The following is a 21731-nucleotide window of genomic DNA, read 5'->3' on the forward strand; positions in this document are numbered from 1 at the left end:
ATTAACAGGCTATGGAATGCAAATTCAAAACTGCTCCCTGACAAAGATTCAAATTTCAAACCAAGCCAAATTAAAATGAAATATAAATATGTAGTTTTAATACATATCAAACAGCTGTGAAAAAGAAAGTCATCATAAAACTAGCACAGTTTTCTCTCATGCTTTCCGAATACCAGAATGGGGGAGATAGTGATGTAACAATACTAATTTAATTTTTTTTTGTTTGCATGCTAAATCATGTTTCCATTTATATCATAAGATATGAAGTTTAAGAAATAGCAGCATAGTGGAATATAAGCCTAGAGTTCTGCTCTAGAGATCATTCATACTGCTTATTGTATAGTTTATATCTGCATGTTTACAGTTTGCTTAAGTAATGTTAATTTAAGTACTTCTAAATTTTGAAAAGTATTAGTTGTGTTCATGCAACTTGGTATCAAATCTAATGGTTATTAATTTTTTACATATTAAATTTTATAATAATTTTTCAAAAAACTTTCATTTCAGATCACTGTACTATAGATTACTTTCAGGTCTGGTTCTAGGTATTGTCTGCTGAAATAATAAGGTAAATATTTATTTAAAAACAAATCTAGATTTCAATTCAGTCACTAATTTAACGTCACTTGCAATCATCTTTATGAATTATCAATTAAGGAGAAATACTAAACAGAAAAAGCATGTTAATACTCTAGTATACCTGGTTCATGATTTTAAGAAGAGAGTAGATTTAGATAAAATTTAGGTTGCTCACCATAATCTTTCCTAATGGAGGGGATGCAAGTATTTTAAAAACACAAGCTACTGGCAACAATAACAAAAATACCCGAGATGACAGTAAGAAATTAGCTGGTTTGTAGCACGAGCTTTTCCTACTAGATGGGTGTTCTTTACTGTTCTTAAGGATGCTTCAAACTGATGAAGGTTTATCCTATTTTCCAGGCATACATATTATATTCACATCTTAGGTTAGTCTGGATTTTTGAAGCCTTGGAAACAATGCATTCATGTACTCCTTTAACTACGTTAAGTGAGCTAACCACATATTTTTGTTAAATTGTAGACACAGCCTATAATAGCTTTCAAAGAAGTCTGTCTTGACTATCTGAAGTACTAAACTTCTTCATTACAATGACCTGGGTAACTTGCTATCATCTTTACTGGCACAAAATCTATGGAAAATTGAGAAATGCCTCAATAACAGAACATTGTATTGTTATTAGTCTAATAGAGTCTGCAATTTCAGAGTATATTTAGGGGAATAGATTCATTTTAAATATAAATGCACAACCATCTGAGAAAATTTCATAGTAAATGTTAGAATATGACTGATTACATGTGAAATATGACTAAAGAAAATTCATGTACATTCTTTGTTTATTCTTTTCAAATATTAATACCTTTGTTATTACGTTAGCTGATTTTTTAAAACCTTACAGTATTATAATTTGATAATAGCCATCTTGTCTGACATATTATTATTTATTCACTAAATTTGTGTTGCTAAAGTAATAAATTAGATGATCTCAAGAAATCTATATGTATGTGAACATGTATGATCAGATGTTATGACAGCCTACCCCATTAGATGCTGGCCAATGCCTGTTCAATTTTTTAAAAGGGTTGCACTATAATAAAGTTACATATACATCAGCACATTTTATATGTATACTAAAAAGGATTCTGCTATTAAAATAACAATTTATATTGAAAAACATCAGTAACAACTGAAGATGTTTAAAAACCAGAATCCTAGCCTATCTTAAATGATTCGAATAAGCAGACTGGTTGGCCAAATTCTCTGCAAGTAGTCTTCAATTTTTTATCTAGCTATTTATAGAAAGCTGAAGAAACAGCTGAGCTGACTGAAGTGATGTCACATTTGCTGATGGAATGGTTTGTTCCAGAGCACGCTCAGAGGCTGCATGAGTCTTCTTAAGGTTTGGTACGCAACCCTAAGCAGTGAGAAGGTGTAAACATGGGCATTTTTCAGCCCCACCAATCAATATTGCATTGATGACTTTCTACTGACCTTTAACCCCACGAGGAATACCAATAGCACCATACTGAATCTTCCCTTCTTTGAGGGCTGCCTAGCATAAGCTACCAATTTTACAATCGATCAAAAGTCATCTCTGTGAATAAAGCTTGAGATTTCAGGCAACAGCAAGCAATTTTTGAAAGGTCAGCGCTGGGTTTTTATTTGCTTGACCTGTGCTTTCAACTTGTATCATAGTTCTTTATAACCACTAAAAGTAGTAAGAAAATTTCAGATTTTTTCCCCGTGTATTTTTAGTAAGCCTTTGGGCATTTTCACTGTCCCTAAAAGAATATGGTTGCATGGCAACCTTCACAGTTGCTATGGAGACTCCATGTGTAAGCAGCTGCTGCAATCAGCATTAACTCCGGGCTTGCAGGTTTGTCATTCCAATACATAGAGAGGGGAAACAAATAGGACAGCACATTGCCGTAAAGGGGAAGTCACCTAGATAATGTCACTCACAAACATATGTTCCACAATTATTCTTTCCACTGTTTTATTGCTGCAATTATAGCTAAACTAAGATTACAAAATTATATGGTTTTAATTTGCCTCTATTGACTATGTTTCACTTCCATTAAAATTAAGTCTGAACTCATTTACCTAGAAAACCATTGGCTTTCGAGAAAAATTTTTTTTTGCTTTCTCATTTAATGTCAATAAAAAGAAAAAAAATCAATGCCCATAGAAACCTTTGTATGAAACAAGCAACTTAGCCAAAATATAAATTAACCTAACATGTAAAGTATGGACTCATCCCAAAGTTCCATCTGTATTTCTAATATTTTCCGTTGTTTCAGGCAAGACTACAAAGATGGCTCTGATGACACCGATCCAAGTCTTTAAAATGTAAGCAGAAATGACAGTTAAGCCATCTTAAGCCCCTATCCTTAACTCATCCCATCAAGCTTAAATATTGCAGGATGCGATCCCAATATCAAAGTCCTTAAGAAGAAAACTCAAGCAAAGAGAGGTAGGAAAACTATTGCCGACACTTTTTTCAAACTAATTTTTTTCCAACCCTGGTGAGCCGAAATATTTCAAGAATCCTTGCTATCACAATATCTGATAAATTTATTACATAAAAGGAACTCTTAATGCACAGATACAATATTATTAACTGAGGAATAGCTTGCAATATAGCATTAGGTGCCCACAGTTTTTGCAAATATAGGCTTAACATCCCCAAAATAATAATCACTTACTTTTCTTATTCTAATATTCCAGTTTCTTATTTGGAGATAGGATACTTCTTCATAGAAAGCTAAGATTATCACTAAAAATTAGTACTTTATTTAAGGGCACTGTAACCACTTGCTAATTTACATGATATAAAACTCACTAGCAGGCAAGCAAAAAAGCAGGTTTTATTATATTTAATCAGATTCTAGTGGTATTACAGTAGTTTTGCTCTACCATATAGAATGGTCACCTTTTTATTTGTAGCTTTTGGAGTTTTTAAAATAATTATGAATCCACAAAATGAAACATGTATCAAATTTATTTCTGTACTTATATAAATTGCTGAAATACAGCTGTGTTAACACAGAAATTCGTAAAATTTTAAGAAAGGCATAGGTGGTGTCTAGTGTTTAAATCAGTTATCTGGTTTTAATATTTACGTCAAAACTGATTCTTACTATTTTTATGATATATCACTTAATAGGCTTATGTGCAGATATGTCAGACAAAATATTTCTTGAGTGAAATCCTAGTATATAAAAACTCTCTATGTGTAGATGCATACACGCAGTATTAGTGGCATTATCTTTATATTAGTAGAATAGCACATGTTAATAAAACATAATTGCCCATTCTAAAAAGCCTTAGCTAGACACATTTAAGAAGTGAAATTTAACAATAGCTAAAAGGTAGCACATTAATATGTTCATGATTAAAATAAAACACAAAAATTTCAGAAACTTGTAATTACCATTTTAATGGATCTTTAAGTAGATATCTAATGCACAATTCATAGATCCTTCTTAAAAGAACCAAATGTTAAGTTATCCAATGTTAGGATGATTTTTTAATCTCATGTTTTCGTTTTTCACCTCTTAGCGAATATTAAAGCAAACATTCATTTTTTAATTGCAGTATAATAAAAGAAATATGCATTCTCCTGCAGATCTTGTTCGCTACCATTTGAATGGAAGCATATTTAGGTTTAGAGTATCAAAATACTGTCTAGAAACCCTGAAAACGAAAACTCTGATAGACCCTTAAACATAGCAGCGTTAGCAGGTGCTGCTGTAATACACAAATCCAGATAACATTAAATGACCTATTTATAAAGCCTGTCCAAGAAAAGCGACATCAAGGAATTGAATTCTTTGCCCTTTACTTTAATAGTTCCTTGTCATGCAATCTTCCAATCAGAAAGGGTGATCACCACAAAACAAATTCCCAACCTGATACATACACCAGGGGCATCTTCTGCAATCCTGTAGACTGGTACTTAGGGCCTATTCATTGCAGCTTGTATTTCACTGCAATATAGGGCAGAGAATTCACAATCAAGTAAATGCAAATTTACTTACAGGGATTTAAAATCAGGACTTTTAGGTAATATGAAATGTAAAATCCTACTGGATTACTTAAATATTGATTATTTCTCAATACATTTTATATTAATCTGGAAAATACTACATTTCAATTTGTATAATGAAGATACTTTAACCACAAACATTTTCGTCTGCAGAATTTTAAAGTAAGATTAGTATTTAAATTTGCCATTGCTAAACTAACCAAACCAGTAGAGTTTTTGAGTTCTATAAGAATATGTCCCCATTAATACACCAAAGGATACTCCTATAGTTGGAACTACAAGCTACACTTCAAAATGGTTTTCTGATGAATAAGCCATAAGTGCTATTTTCTGTAAAAGTTACGTGAATCCATAGAGCAATTATTTGGATAATTTGAGCATTAAACCCCGTGACTGTGAATGAAGAGGTTTTATTTGGCTTGGGTAATAGGAATTAGCTGTGTACATTGAGTACAGTATGCCAATTTCAACTAAATCATTTTTATAGCTCACTAATGTAAGGAATAAATGTAACCTTTTTTCAAACTTATTCAAAAAACTTCAAAGCTATAGAAAATTTGAAATAGCATAGCAAACATTCATGCGTCCTTCACTTAATTTGACAGTTGTTAACATTTTTGCCACATTTGTTTTTTTCTCTCTCTGTCCAAAATAATGAATATTGGCAAAATCATGTTTTAACCTAAAACACGTTTTCTTACACTGAACCATTTGAACTTAAGCTGCAAACATCATGACATTTCACCCCTACATACTTTAGCGTGTGCCTCCAAAGAGCCAGGGCATTCTTCTACATAAACTACAATACCATTATCACTCACAATAAATTTAACATGGTTGCAATAGCATTCTCTGTTATAAAGTCCATATGTAAAATTTCTCCAGTTCTCTTGATAATGTCTTTTATAATTTACTTGAGAGGAGATAATCTGAATTCAGTCAAAGGTTATGGACCACACTTTGCATTTAGCTGTATGTCTTTTTATTCACCTTTCATCTAGAACAGTTCCTCAGCATGTGTCTTCTATGCACTGAAATTTTTGAAGAACCCATGTCAGTTGTTTAAATGTCCCACAATTTAAATTTCTTCCAATTGTTTTTCTTAACAACTAAATTTAGGTGAAACATATTTGTCAAGAGCACTACAAAGGTAAAAGATAATGTAATGTCTGGCCATGAAAGATTACCTTCTGATAAAGAACTGTACCCAGACTCTGTCCCCGGAGTGTTCATTTTTCTATTAATAATTTGAATAAATTGCTGGGAAAGCACAGTCATTTGCTACTGTCACTGAAAATATGAAATCTTACAATTCATTTAAAATAATTTGGTTTATTAGACTTTGGACCTGGATCCCTTAGCCATTTCACTTGTGTTACTTATAATGAAAATTTGGGGTATCTGAATACTTTGTGATTAACTTTCCTTCATCCAACCCACCCACCTTCTGACAGCTGATAGAATGACCAGACAAAAACTAAGGAGCTTCATGGCACCTTTGTCTTCAAAAGCTAACACTGATTTTTTTCTCCAAACATTATTAAATATATAGTATATTTATAATACCAACATTGCATCTTTGGAACATCCAGCAAAAAAAAAAAAAAAGCAGAAAATTAAAATTATCTTTTTTTAAAAAAGATCTCCCAGTCCATTCCAGAGAGTGGAAGCTAAACAAAATTGTTTGCATTAAAATTTAAAAATAATTCTATAATTTAATAATAGTATTAAATAAACTAGTATAAATATATTTCATTATTGAAAAAAGTAGGGGGATACGTATTTGATAGAAAATAAACTCCAAAAAGTCTCAAAAACATACACAATCTACGTATTCTCAACCCTCCTGGCAATTTATATGTGCAAATGGAGTTTTGCCATTTTTTTAGAACAAAAAATCAAGAGAGGATCCTTAATATTTCCTTTCTAATCCCATTCGTCATACATTATCCAGTGCTTGGTTCTGATTTGTAAATAGAAGACTACATTTGAAACACTTATGCCCAATAGGCCACTTACATTGAATAAAATATGTGGATTTTGCATCCTGTTTAAAGCCTTTCTATGGAATGTAAAATAATATGCATTTATTCCTTGTCAACGCATCTAGTGTGGAGCTACCCCAAATGCCATTAAATTCATTTGCTTTTTAAGCATTTTAGAAATTTTTTGTTCTATTACAACTCATGAGCTTGGAATCTTTTATGTCATGATGCTTTGTAAAGTTTAAATCTTTATCCAAATGCTGGGATAAAAAGGGTGAGTATATTCAAATGGACATGGGTTAAAAATTCCATCTTACATTTATTGGTTGCATTACCTTTGGCAAATCACTTAACCTCTCTGAGCCTTAATTTCCCTTATAAAATAAAGATGTACATGTTTAGAATTTAGGAGTAAATGTATGAAAAGTACACAACACAGAGAAGGTACTCAGTAAGATGCAACTATTTGTAATCTTTCAAAAATCATGACCACAGCCCTAATTTCATATACTAAGCTACTAATAACAGACTTGTTCAAATAGGTATGTAACATACATATATTGTAACCTTTCTGAAAGGGCCTCCTTAGAAACTTATGGCTAATTTAGACACATATGTACACACAGAATTATACATACTGTGTATCAATAGGAAAATTTGCTTTAACTAAAGTTCTCCAATAATATAAGGAATGCAACTGACCTCAGGGAGAAAAAAAAAAACATACATTTACTTTGTTTTTCAGAATTCTGACATGCCTGTATTTGATGACCTATGAAAGAAATACAGGATGAAAAGCTAGAAAATGGAAGCTCTGCTTATGTCCTACAGCCCTGAATTTTGTCCAAGGTCACATGTACAATTTATCCTCTTATCATGCATATCAAACCCAAAGAGAGGAATTATCTAGAACATGGCAAAAGCCACCATTAATTCTGCATAAGTAATGCAAAGCAGCAATCAATACTAATGTGTAAGAAGACCCTTCTTGAATTCAGTTAATGTGTTTTGTTGTCGCTGTTGTGTATCCTCATTTTTAATTCAATTTTTAGTTTTACCTGCACCATTCAAAATAGTCAGGTTGTATTAAGTTTTTTACTTCTAATCTGGCTTAATATTTTTCTTTTAAAAGGAAGACATAAGATTTTTTTACCATAGAGGAAATAAATGTTTTTAAATGTTTTCAAATGTTTTCCTTTTCCAACAGATCAATGTTATAATGAATAAAAATAGTAGCAGTATAAAAGTAAAAAAATCTTACTTCGTGCAGCCTATATAGTAAATATATATTTCAGAGGAAGGAAGGAAGAAGGGAAGTAAGAAAGGAAGGAGGGAAGGAAGGAAGGAAGGAAGGAATGAAAGAAGGAAGGGTAAATTACAGCAATTTTTGAAATAAAATTGAACCTCTCCATGAGTGTTTAACTGCCATTTCCATACATCCCCTACAGCCAACTCTGAAATACAAATTTATAATAAAATAAAAATGCAGAGTATTCTTACATAGAAAAATTAAAAAATTTATGTCTTTTTACATAATTTTTAAATCAAAAGCTAATTCACTGCAAGAATAAGACTTTGTTCTCTGACTGTAAACTTATGAATCTCACTACTTTAGTTTATATTTGGAAAGAAAATAGCTTAGTTGATAGCCCTCTTTTATTATCTCTAATGTCAAATCTGCTAAACTTCCTACTGAGTGCAATTATATAAATTAAATAATTTTAATATAATTTTTCATGATAGGAAAACATAAACCAATTAAAAATAGCACTAAGTTAACAACAGAACAAAGTTTCTATATTTTGTGGCATAATGCAGAGTATTATATATTAGATTACTAAAACAAAATATTTATAGCTGTGAAGAAGCAAGCCTTTAAAAGCTGCCATTTTTTTCTAAAACAAATGGTAAAATCTTTGCCTATAGTCAATATCACTCTAAAGTCTAAGTTAAAATTATTATGACTCACAGTATATATTCCAACCAAACATTATTATAATGGACTCTGTGAGTGATTATACAAAATACAAATTTATTGTTTAAAAATTACATTAATGGCATTAAAATGCAATAATAATTGCATTTTAAAATACATTTATTTATTCTGATGCCCAACTCAAAGGCCCTAATCACATTCTAGCTTCTTTCTTAATAAGACAAGTAGGTTTGAACTAGAGATAATTCATGTGATTTAAAAAATTTTAAAAACTGAACATCCTAAAGTAAGTACATAAAAGAATTTTCTTAAAATACTTTTTCTCCTCTAACCTCTTTCTCCACTTAATTTTTCCAAGATGGAGAGGAAAAATGTTTACATTATCATCTCCTATAACCATAAAAATTCACCAACTTGTAGCCTTTTGAAATAGCATGGTTTCCTATGATTGTCATTTTTTGTGCTTTTGTGTTTTACAGAAGAAATCCCCTCTGGTCCTAAAGTCTATAATGCCCACACTCATTCGTGGACAATTTCCTCATTACAGAGCCTGGTGCAAATTAAATCATCTGAACAGAGGTGGAATACTGACCCAAACCCATCAAAATTTTCATGAAAAGCAGATAATCAGATTCCAGGCTACTTTTGTGGGGCTTTCATGGAAATTCCTTTTAACAAAAAGTGATATAAAAATGATATTCACACAGCAAGGATAAGAACAGCAACTAAAGGTTTGAAAAGCCCACCAGGAGAGAAAATTCACCTCACTTATAATAAATCAACTGCTATATATTTTTCTATGTTTAGTACCCAAAAAGAAGATGATATGAATCCATTTTCTGTTCAGATTCTTTTTAATTCTACAGATAAAAACTATCCTACTGTTTCCAAATGCTGTTTTATTTTAATGGTAAAAATAGCCACCAAAAAGATGGGGTTTCACTGTGAATCTCTTACCAAGTACACATTATTGCAAAGTATAAAATACATCCATATACTTTTTGAAAGTAACTAATTGCTAACTTAGTTATTTTAAACCTAAAATATATTCGTATCATTAGTTACATTACCAATATTCCCTCAGTATAGTAAAACATCAAGTACCAAAATAGCATCAAAGAATTCCATGATTAAACTGGAATTTATGCACATGACATTTCTAAAGCAATATAGCTCTCATAATGAACACCAACAAACTGAGTTTGTTTGGCCAACTACTAACCTGCCTAATTTCAAGTTCTTACTTCTTAAAAGCATGATACAGATTATTCATACACTCATAAAATACCACAAAGAAAGAGGCTTTTGACAGGCTAATCAAATTGACTCATAATAATCCTTCTATTTGGGAAGATGGGAAAATTATGATAAAAGATCTTAAAACAAGGTTCTGATATTTAATGGTATCTTCTACTTGTATTAATTGCTCTAAACAGAAACTTTAAAAAGAAATGAAGTTATGTCATCCATCCATTATTCCATAACTGTCAAAGTATTAATCTATTTTGTAGCTTGGCTTTTTTCTTGAATATTTAAAAATTCTTATTTAAAACAGTTAACTAACAAAATATATTAATGGTCTTATTTTATTATTTTAGAAAAGAATGACCCATATTGACACTTCAGAAAATTTTTGATAAATATAATATTATAGAAATCTTACAAAATATATTTTTACTTGAGATGTTGACTGTAGTATTGTGAAGTTAGTTCTCTAATATGGGAATTCCTTCTTTTAGCAAGAGTAACAGCCATTTTGGTTTTACTCTCATGCTCACTCACTCACTTCATTCACAAACGTATTTATCATTTCTGAATGGCAAAGGTGTGCTTTCTAATTTTTGCAGACTTGCAATAAAAATTAAAAGCTATTAATATAAAAGTCAAATTCTTACTTTATAATATTTTTAAAGACTTTGTGATAATCTAAACTTACAACTCCTAACATTAACCAGTATTTACCTTTTAATTCTTAACTACTTACAGGCTTTAACCCATTTTTAAAAGTGAAATGATTACATCACTATTTTGGATTATCCCAAATCATAATTATTAATAGCTAGGTTTTACTTTATTCTTATAATATACCTTATCTGCTAGCTGCAGCTGTTTTTCTAAATTGAAAGAAAATACTGATTATTAATTATAGCATTGTATCTCACTCACATATGTGAACTTTCTGACTACTTATCATTCTGTGTTAAAGTAGCTAATGGTTTTCAATATGTTTAAATGTATGTACTCTAAGAGTTACAGTAAAAAAGTTATAAAATTATGGTATTTTAACAATTCCCTAAGTTTAAAGCTAAATCTTCCCTCACAGTTAATCAATGTTTGTAAATCAATTTTTAGTACTCCTAAGGAGCAGGAGGCAACTGGAAAATTGAAAATATGAGACAAAACTTTAAAGTAAGTTAGGTTAAAAAGAATGTGTTGTGTTGTGTTGGATGTCTTGAACCATGTCACTTATTGACCATGAACATTAGGTATCTTTCTTTCCTGGTGTGTCAGCAAAGCCACACACATTCTTTCTTGCTACAAATCTGTAAATCTGGAAAGGAGTAAAGAACATGAATAGAAAATCTCTTTATAGAATAAAAAAGCCTGCGGTGTTATTAAGGAGAACTGTAAGCCCTATTCTATTCATAGTAATTACAGGATCAGATCAGGTTAATGTGGGGACCTCGGTCAATAAAGTACTGTGGGTTCACCGCTTTAATCTCTTTCAGTCCTATAGTCTGCAGTGTTAACTGCTCTGCTTGACTCACCAAATCACTATAGGTAACATGGATGTCATGGGAATTTTTGGCATAGCAGAAATTTATATATTCAGCCAGTCACAAGTTTCAGAAGATGAGAAAAACTAATTTCTCTGAACAATTTGACAAGTTTTTTTCTCTTTCAACTGAAATAATAAAGGTCAAATGTCATTTCCAGGTAACGCCATTTTTAGTCTTTTTTTCACAATAAAACCTGTTTCCTTATTAAATTTTTCATCCACCCATTATTCACAGAAGATATTACACAATCTTGATAAACATATAAATGAGATCTAAAACAGATTAGAATTTGGCCTTGTGCACCTTGAGATAATCCTTTTGGGTTTTTTCCTACAATTTTCTCTAAAATTTCTGTGGAGGATGAATAACCAAAAATTTAAAGCTTGATATCTCATGCATGCTTAGAAATGATTTGGTAGGCTTTTCTTTTGCAAGTGTTTTTCAGGTTACATTTCTCTCCTGAAATTGTAAAAATTTTCTGCCAATAAAGGAATCAAAATCCTTTGTTATAAAGTATTTAAAATTATGATTTGTTAGGGTTATGACATTTTGTGGGTTTTCTTTTTTCATTTTTTAATGGTATTGGGGGTTTGGCACCAAGAACATCTTACTCTTGAAAAAAATTAAAGGACTTTATGCTAAATTTACAGTTCTTTAAATACTTGTCTCATTGCACAGTGATCCATGTAATAATGTACATTTAAAAATTTAAAGACACTAAAAATTTTTAAATGCAGTTACTCCTTTGATTTTAATGTGAATGTAGCTATGAATGAAATATACTCACTCTAGGCCATTAGTCTTTAACGATTCTTTTTCTTCTTCAGCATTTTGGTAACTCCTTTTTCTACTGTTTCCATCTTAAATTATCAGTTAGTATAAAACAGCTTATATTCGAAACTTGAAAGTACTAGACCTTGGGAGTAACCTATATGAAAGGTAAAGTAACCTTGAAAAGTAACCTTTAAAATAACCTTGAAAAGTAAAGGCAAGAGAATAGGTGCACCTGTGATTTTATCAACTCCTGCACTTCAGCTCTTGTGTATGTCACACTTCTCTTCATATCTCCTTTCAACTAGGAAGAGTGTTGATGAACAAAACAGAGAACCACAATGAATGGGGATTTGTCAAAAATACCCCAAGAAGGTATTAAGTTATTGTTGTTAGAATGGAATAGTCCATTCTGGACTCTGGTCACTTATGTTTTCACTACTCAATCACTTCGCTTTTGTACGGATTGTTAGATAACTATGTCCAGTATGTGTATATAAGTACTTATAACACCAATATTAAAACAGACATGCTACTTGTCTTCTTCTCCATGCTAGTAAGCAGCACCTTGAAGGTAGACACTGTGGCCTCTCTTTTTCTTGAAAGTTATTGTGTACTTATTGATTTGAATAATAGTTATTATACTCTATGGATTTCTCCTCAAAATTTGAAGAAGTAAGTATTTTGTGAATTTTAAATATTATCGCTCAATATGAGTAATTTAACTGATGAGCACGAAATAGTATAACGAAAGTATAAATTGCTTTTTCTAAATTTATGAAACTTTTTGGAAGAACTGACCATTTGATATAACAACACCAAGAATAGTGTATTTCAAAGCAGAGATCATCCCAAGAAAGTTTTTAAAGATGGGTAACAAAAAAAAAAAAAAAAAAGAAACCCACAAACCTACCAAATATGCTAGTAATTGAATGATGTGAACTCTGGTAAGCGCCGGTGTGCAATATGGCAAAAACGAATCAATCAGTTCAGCTTAGTTCAGCCTCTGCAACTGGCCATCTGGCACAAAATCAACCGAATGTATCCCTGCATATTCATCTTCATTTTCACAAATGCTCAAGAGAATGTCATTCTAGGGCAAAATAAAATTAAATCACCATAATTTTTAAGACATCTTTCCTTTCATACCCTCTTGAGAATACTGTGTTTATATGTGAATACTTATTGTTATAGAGTTGTTGTATAATTTTTAGTTGAATGTATTCTTTCTTTTCTAAATGTTAAAGGACATTTAATTATGAAATATTCAATTTTTCAAATAAAATTATTTTAGAGAGAGAAACGTCTATAAATAGGTCAGTGTACTTTTAGTTGAGTCAATAGTAGATCAAGAGACCTTAGTTACTTTCACAGACCATAATAATTTCAGAATTGAACTAAAATGAAGTTGGCCTAACATATGATTAGTTAGTGTTCAACATGATCAAAATACATTAGCTCACATGTCAATTTCTATTTGCATAAAATCAGAAACTAAAATTTCATTTGATCAAATAAAATTTTACATAATAATCATATTATTACATAAAATTAATCAACCAAACACTTTATCAAATCCTGAACAGATAAGGCTAAGTGCTACTTACTGCATCATTTTTGTAATAATTTTGTAATTCTATTAAATGTTTGCTTTTCAAATGGAAGCTAGCAAACAGTTTGCATTTGGACTCCTTTGGTAATGTAGAATTAAAATAGCAGAGTAAACCTCATACTCTACTTTTAAGTGTAATACTGAGTAAAGTACTGGATCAAGTTTATTGATGAATTTAGCCATTTAATTTTGTCCTAAAATGTTTTGTTTAAATGAAGTAAATGAATGTTAATTAACACATCAAAACATACTAAACAAGTCAAAGTTTTAAGTAACTTTGTTTCCCAAATCATGTTTGTAAATATAACAGACCTATACAAAACATTTAATTTTGAAAGGGTTGTGTTTAAATTCTACTCACTATAATTTTGTTCGTCAAAATAAAACATTGTGGGAAGTATTTAATTTTCAAAGAATGGGAGGTAATCGATTTCTTCTTTGAGCTTTGCTCTTTTCTACATTATAAAAAAGTTTAAGTTGCAAATAATTCATTCTGTATTTGAGAAGTTTGTTAGCAAATAATATCTAAACTCAATGTATTATTAGATAATGTTTCTTTTGAGAATTATATACTGATCTACATCAGTCATGGTACTTTTTTCAATTTTTTTATCCTACACCCTTTTCCGTTTTAAAGGTACCTTGGCAATGTTTCCTCAAACAATTTCAGAGCAGAGCCAGCTAATGGCTTAGAATTGTTTCTATAGATCTTGGTTTGCATTTCTGTGTGTGTGTGGCCTTTAAGAGATGTTACAGTTTGCTGTTTTGTAAATTGATTCACAGTTTGAAAGCATTCTTTTGTTACTAAAACACACATGCAAAGTGGGGACTCTTTCCAGGCAAAATGCACCATCATATTGAATGGACAAAAACTTGGAACCACAATCACTATTAAGAATCCTGGACTCGTCATCCTCAATCTGCTCACGTTGGAAAAAATCAGAGTCAAGTTTACTGTGGCTCATTTTTCTGTTGCATCATCTATTTAGAAATATTGCCAAGTACATGCAAATATAAAATAAAATTAAATTGGCTATAAAAGATTTTGCATTTATTTATCTAGTTGTGAATCACTGTGCCCATATTAATGGAATCTTTTTAAGATTTGAAACTTTGAGTTCATAAACCTTACAAGTTTTAGTCTCTGAACATTAAGTTTTTATCCTACCAAAATTCAGTAAATATTGATGAATAGCTTACATGTATGTATTTTATTTATATTTCTTTTAAACAATATAAACATTCATTCTCTGACTTAATCTTCACAATAACTTGCAAAAGAGTAAGTGCTTTTCCCCTCATTTAAAAAGCAAAGATATATTCACAGAAGTTACCCAGCTTGTTCAAAGTCATTTTCTAGTTAGTGGGGGAGCTCAATTTACAATGAGCATATCCAGACTGTCAGAATTTCCATTGTACCACACTCCTGACTGTTTCTGTGAGGCCAGCCCCACAGATGAGCTTATTAAGTCCCCATGTCCTTGTTTATCCACCAGCTTTCTATGCACATCTCTGAGCTGGCTGTAGCATGAACGCACTATCATCCAGAGTCCTCTTGCCATTCAATTACCACCACAAGTACTTCCAGCCTTTTATAACCAATGTTTTTGAAAAACTTTAAAGGTACTACTTTCTTTCTCTAATACAGTCACTGCTCACGCCTGTCAATCTGGTATCCGTCTGCAATCTTAGCCTGGTGGAGCCACTCTCCTCCCTGAGCTCTTTTAGCATCATCGGCACACCTTTTTGGGACATATCTGCTGTGTCCCCCACCAGACTGAGCCCTTCAAGATACAGATCCCACCCTCTTAACTTCTGCATAGTGCCTAGCTTAACTTAGCACAGTGCCTAGCCCATCACACACCTTAACAGATATTTGTTGAATAAAGAAATGAGTACGATCATTGCAATAAGCTGAAAACGACATTATTTTAAGGAAGGAACTGCCTTGGTAAAATAGCTCAATAAAGTAAGGTAAAAGTGAGACCTGAATGTGTGGATTACACAGCAAAAGCCAAGGCAACAAGGTTAGAGAATGGCCCAAAATGAGGAGAAACTTGGCTTTTACAAGAGAAACGGAGAAAGAATGAGTAGAGGAAAGGAGCGTAGAAAAGTCAGTGATCGTTGCCACTGACATGGGCCTACTAGAGACCCCTGCCGGTGGCAGGTTCCATTGGAAGCTGTTTGAACTGCTAGAACCTAAAACCCTCCATCTCTCCCACTGAACCCTCCCACCCCTTGTTTCAGTAAACTTTCCCACACTCACCATTATTACATATAAGGCTCTTTGAAATTGCTAAAGGATCTGACTTTCTTATCTGGGCTTACTTGTTGCAGAAAAGAACTAAAAGTCACAAGAACTGGGGATAAAGTACTCATGAGAGCAAAAGCCTACCAGAAATTTAATAGAAATTCCAGCTCAGCTTTAATTTTCTAGTAAAACACACATATGGGTTTAAGTCAATCTTAGATAGATGTTAAGATTAGAAACCCTAGCTGATATACAGATTTCATAATAAATGAATAAACAAAGTCAGTCAATATAAATAGAAAGGGAGGAATTTAATTTACTATTCACACAAACATTCATTCATTCAGTAAACTTTTGATGAAGTTCAGGACCTACTGCCCCAAAATGTGACTCCTTGGCATTTAAGAACATAGCAGAAGCAGAAAGTTCTCTCTGCCCTTTTCCAAGCCCTTCTCCCCTAAAGCAGGACACGATTCTCTGATCTTCCTCTAGAGTTGGTCAAAAAACTTTCGTTTCAGAGGTGCCCACCCTGTACCTGGAGGGAAGGAGCATCCTCATCTCTGAAGAAACAGAGACACACAGAAGCATCTGAACAAGTAGGCCTTGCCAAGTCTCCCCCAGTTTATTACCACTGGGAACAGTTTGTCTTCTAATTATACTTCTGCATGACTGTCCATAAAAGTACACAGTTTTCCCTGTTTCTTTGGGTCTTCATTTCTGAAGACTCCAATGTCAGGTAAAACATATTAAATAAATGTGTATGTTTTTTTCTTGTTAATCTTTCTTTTATTGTCGGTGTCTCAGGCATGAACCTTGCACTGGATGAGAAATCTTTTCTCCCCTACACTTTCAATAAGCATCGGTGTATTCCAGTAGATAGAAATATAGCTGCAAAACAAACATGGCTCACTCCATAAAAGCTGGCAGTATAGGGGAAATATAGATGAGCTCTGCTAGATGCTGAAATGAAAGTACAGGATGTTATGGAAGCATATAAGAATAGCACCTAAATCTGACTCAAGTTATTAGGAAAGACTTTTTTGTAAATGACGTCTAAGCTCAAAACTAAAAGCTCAAGTCAAGGGATTAGTAAGAATATTTCAGGCAGAGGAAACAGCATATGTGAAGTCCCAGAAACGAGAAGGAACCTGGCATATTGAGGCTTCAGAAGTAGGGCTACAGGGCTGGATCCTAGAGAGAGAGCTCAAACTGGTGAGAGATAAAATTGGAGTGATAAGCAAGGGATAAGTGGTGAAGGACTCATAAGCTGTGTTAAAGAGCATGAGCTTTATTTTAAAGGCAATGTGGAGTCACTAAAAAGTTTTAAGTGCGAGTGTACATTATTAGATGGCCGAGAAATATTACTCTGGAGTGTAGAGATAGGATTGGAGGGAGGCAAACTGGAGGTGAATAATTCAGTTGGATTAATTAGTTATCCAAGTGAGAGGGGGAGTGCTGAGTGAAGGAGGGAAGGAATGATGTGCATTGAGAGAATTTGAATGATTTGAGGGATATTTAGAGGCAATATCCATAGCATTGGGTGACTGACTGAATATGTACATGGGAATGGTGAAAGATGCATCCAAAATGATGCACAAGGCTGGAAACTATATGCTGTGCCTCACTGCTAGAAATCTCAGGAAAAGAAGCATATTGGACAGTGGGGGAAAATCATCATTTGTTTGAAGATACATCAAATTTGATGTTTATGTGAGAAATGCAAATGGAGGTCTCCAGAAAACAGTTGGATACAAATGGAAGCTCAGAGGAGAGATCCGGATATAGATTTATATTCAGATATAGATCTGGATATAAATTATATTATAGGCAAAGAGTTATAAGCAGGTAAATAGTGCTTCAAGGCCAAATAGTGAATAAGGTCATTAAGGGAACATGTGACAGGGCCTTGGCCTCATCTCTGAGGAAAACACTTGAGGGAAAGGCAGAGAAAAAGGAGCTAGCAAACCAGTCTGATTTAAAAATCCAAAGGGGTCAGAGGAAAATCAGGAGAGAGAATTGTCCAGGGAGCAAAGAAAAAAGTTTCTTAAGAATAAAGAAGTGATCTACAATTCCAAACGTCACTCGGAGTTCAATAACATTAATCCTGAATGGTATCCATAGGGTTTTTCTACAAAGGAGGTGTTACTGGCTTTTCTGAAAGAGTTTCAATGGCAGAGTTAGTTAGGCTGGAAAACAATTCAGCATATTGAAGAGTGAAAGGAAGATGAAGGTGCGAAAATAACAGGAGTATGTGACATTTAAAGGATGCTTAGCTATGATAAGGAAAGCATAAGCTAGAAGGAATGTGAAGATTTTTAATATATGAGAGATTTGAACCTGTATCAATGCTAATAGGAAGAAGCTAGTAGAGTAGGAAGAAGCTAGTAGAGAAGGAAGACAGAAGAGAGATCATTAATAATATAGAGATCCTCCTACTTAGGTAAGAAAAACACAAAAACAGGGATAAGAGGAACTCAGAAACGGGAAAAGCCTTTATATAGTAACAAAAGCAGAGGGTTGGGGGAAGAGAATGAGGACATTCCTGCCCAAAGATCTCTAATTTTTCTGTGGAACAGGAACCAGTGACCATCTGCTAAGGTGAGGGATGGCAGAGAAGAGGATACAATGGGGATTGGTGGGGTTAAAATTTTAAAGAATGCTGACATGAAGTAACATTTGTGGAGAGAGTAAGCACTGACTAAGAAAGATGGGAGTACTCCACAGTGTCAAAGGTGCAGGTGAGGGTGGAGACCACAAATTTGTGTGTTACTGTACCTAATTCATTTTCTCCAGCAGCATTAAACAGCTTAGAAGTAGGTATCAAAAAGGCAGATACTTAAATTAATTCAGAGTGGAGGGATTATTTGCCTTAAGAATGCAATAGAAGGAAAACAGGGCCAAAAAAATCATGATTTTGCCAAGAAAATAAGGTGATAAGCAATGATGTGTCCGTGAGACAAGATACACAAGCACTTGGCCCTCAAGAGGTTTCAAGGAGAGTAGGAGGGACCAGTGCCAAGATATTCCTGATGCCATACACTCTACCCACTTGGAAACAAATTTAAAATTGTGAAGCTATTTATTTTTGAGGGAAAAAAATGCAATTACCTCTTGGGACACATTATCTGAATAAACGGTATCTCTATGACTGTAAATTTTAATTATATTCATTTAGGAAATGGACAACAAAGAAAACAAGTTATCAATCTTCCCTTAGCCATGTTACCAGTTAATCAAATGCACTTCCATAGGTCTTTAAGAGTGTCACCTGTTTAACACTGTTCAACCTGAAAGGAACTAAAAAACTAGTCTCTGTTATGCAAACAAATGTACACTTTAAAGGCATTTATTAAACCTATCATTAATAATGTCAGTTAATACTGAAAACATTGTAGATGGCTATTTTTACTGGATCCCATAATTCCAATTTTATTTATTCATTTATTGAACAAATGCATTGTACCTTGTTGCCTGACTCCACTTCATTAAAGGGATCAAGGAAGATTTTCACTGCAATTCTAAATTCATTTATAGTTAGGCTTATTTTCAGTTATGCACATAGTTATGGCCACATTACTAAGATGAGTTGAAATCATAATCTGAGAGTCTTACAATAGTAGATACTGACAAATCTAGATCCATAATTCATATATCACAATATTCTATTTTTATGTCTATGATACCATAAATCAATCACCTGAGCTTAACCTAAAATAGGTTTGCAAAAGCTTAACATCACATTTAAAAATCAGGATTAATCCTTCTCTGTTACATTATTGTTTGATTACAGTCAGCCATCTGGTATTTTTGAGTTATAGTCAATCGCAACATTCCTGGGAGAAGCAGAACCCATAGAAAATCTACCCTTGTCAAACACTAAATACTAGAACTGCAAGGTGCTGTACACATGAACAATGCAAACGGCAGAACTAAGAACAATTAAATGGATGTTTTTTTGCAATCTTTATTTGAAAGCTTATGTTCCAATGTTGTAGGTCAAGGAAGGTACTAAATATACAATTCTCTGTCCATAGTTATTTGGTGTTTTTAAGCTCATCTATAACCAGTTTATTAAAAAGTAAAAGGGAGATATGAAATGAGCTGGTAGAGCAAATATTATGTTGGAAAACATTTATTAAATACAACATGTTATCATGATAGTTGAAAATACATTAAGTCAGATTTTCTCAAGTGCCTACACAATTGTAGAAAATTTGATACTAGATGTAGTATATTAACTCTTTTATGGTAACTTTTAGTGAGTTATTTCTTCAGTTCTCGTGCATTAGTAAATACACCTCATAAAACTGCCTTCATCCAGAGAAATTTGAATTCTGTTACCCATTAGTAGATAATACTATTTTGACAGTCAGTTGTACTTTCTTGAAAATAAATAATCTGGTCTCTTAAAATCTTATATTCCCTATTCCTATAACTCAACTTCTAACACTGATGAAAAAATCATGCAGTTGTACAAATTGGTGCAAAAATAAACTCATAGTTTTCAACCTGTTGAGTTCTGAACACTTCCTCATAACAGTTCTATCTGTTTAATTAGCTTTCCTAACCAATTGTCACAATATTCTTTATTATCTACAATTGACATACAATGAACTGTACACAGTTAAAGTGTATGATTTCATAACTTTTGCCATGTAGAAGTATATGTGAAACCATCAACTACAATCAGAATAGTGGACATACCCAGCACCCCCAAAGGTTTCCTTGTACCCCTTGTTATTCCTTTCCTGTTATTCCCTCCATTCCCAAGCAAATTCTGATCTGCTTATCTGTCATTATACACTATTTTACATTTTCAAATTTTATATTAAGAGACTCATACAGTGTGTACACTCTTATGCCTGGCTTCTTTTACTTTACATAATTATTATGAGATTCAGTTATGCTGTACTATCATCAATGGCTCATTCCTTTTTACTGGTGAGTAGCATTTTGTGAATAACCAACAATTTATTTATCTATTAAACTCTTGATAGATGATTGATTTTTTTCATCCTTTTATGGCTATTGGAAACCTAGCTGCTATGAATATTCATGTATAAGTCTTTGTGTAGACATATGCTTTCATTCTCTTGCAAAAATATCCAGTAGTGGAATGTCTGGATCATATGGTAGCTGTATATTTAGCTTTTAAGAAACTGCCAAAATGTTTTCCAAAGTGCTTGTATCATTTAAAATTCTCATCAGCTTTCCTTTGATTAGTGTTAGCATAGTAAATTTCTTTCCATCTTTTTACTTTTAACCTATTTGTGTCTATGTATTTAAAGTGGGTTTCTTGTAGGCAGCACATAGTTGGGTCTTTGTTTTTTTTATCCAGTCTGAGACTCTCTGCCTTTTAGTTGGGGTGTTCAAACTATTTAATTTTTTTGTTATGCAATCAAAGCGAATCTTCTTTTTTTTTTCTTTATATATATATATATTTTATTATGCCTTAAGTTCTAGGGTACATGTGCACAATGTGCAGGTTTGTTACATATGTATACATGTGACATGTTGGTGTGCTGCACCCATTAACTCATCATTTAGCATTAGGTATATCTCCTAATGCTATCCCTCCCCCCTCCCCCACCCCACAACAGGCCCCAGTGTGTGATGTTCCCCCTTCCTGAGTCCAGGTGTTCTCATTGTTCAATTCTCACCTGTGAGTGAGAACATGCAGTGTTTGGTTTTTTGTCCTTGCAATAGTTTGCTGAGAATGATGGTTTCCAGATTCATCCATGTCCCTACAAAGGACATGAACTTATCCTGTTTTATGGCTGCATAGTATTCCATGGTGTATATGTGCC

The 21731-nt window shown here is 32.8% G+C and overlaps 1 long non-coding RNA gene across 1 annotated transcript in view, besides 1 other annotated feature; it reads right to left on the reverse strand.

Annotated features, from left to right (window-relative positions):
- Positions 1-21731, reverse strand: part of LINC01414 (long intergenic non-protein coding RNA 1414) — a 511616-nt gene that overhangs the window by 411107 nt on the left and 78778 nt on the right. The gene's annotated exons all lie outside the window — the stretch shown is intronic.
- Positions 2203-2497: a silencer, noted in NCBI's record as "tiled region #1423; HepG2 Repressive non-DNase unmatched - State 24:Quies". NCBI's record gives its function as "represses a minimal TATA promoter and a strong SV40 promoter by Sharpr-MPRA in HepG2 cells {active_cell/tissue: HepG2}" and the evidence as "EXISTENCE:reporter gene assay evidence [ECO:0000049][PMID:27701403]".

Source organism: Homo sapiens, chromosome 8, assembly GCF_000001405.40.
Source record: "Homo sapiens chromosome 8, GRCh38.p14 Primary Assembly".
NCBI lineage: Eukaryota > Metazoa > Chordata > Mammalia > Primates > Hominidae > Homo > Homo sapiens.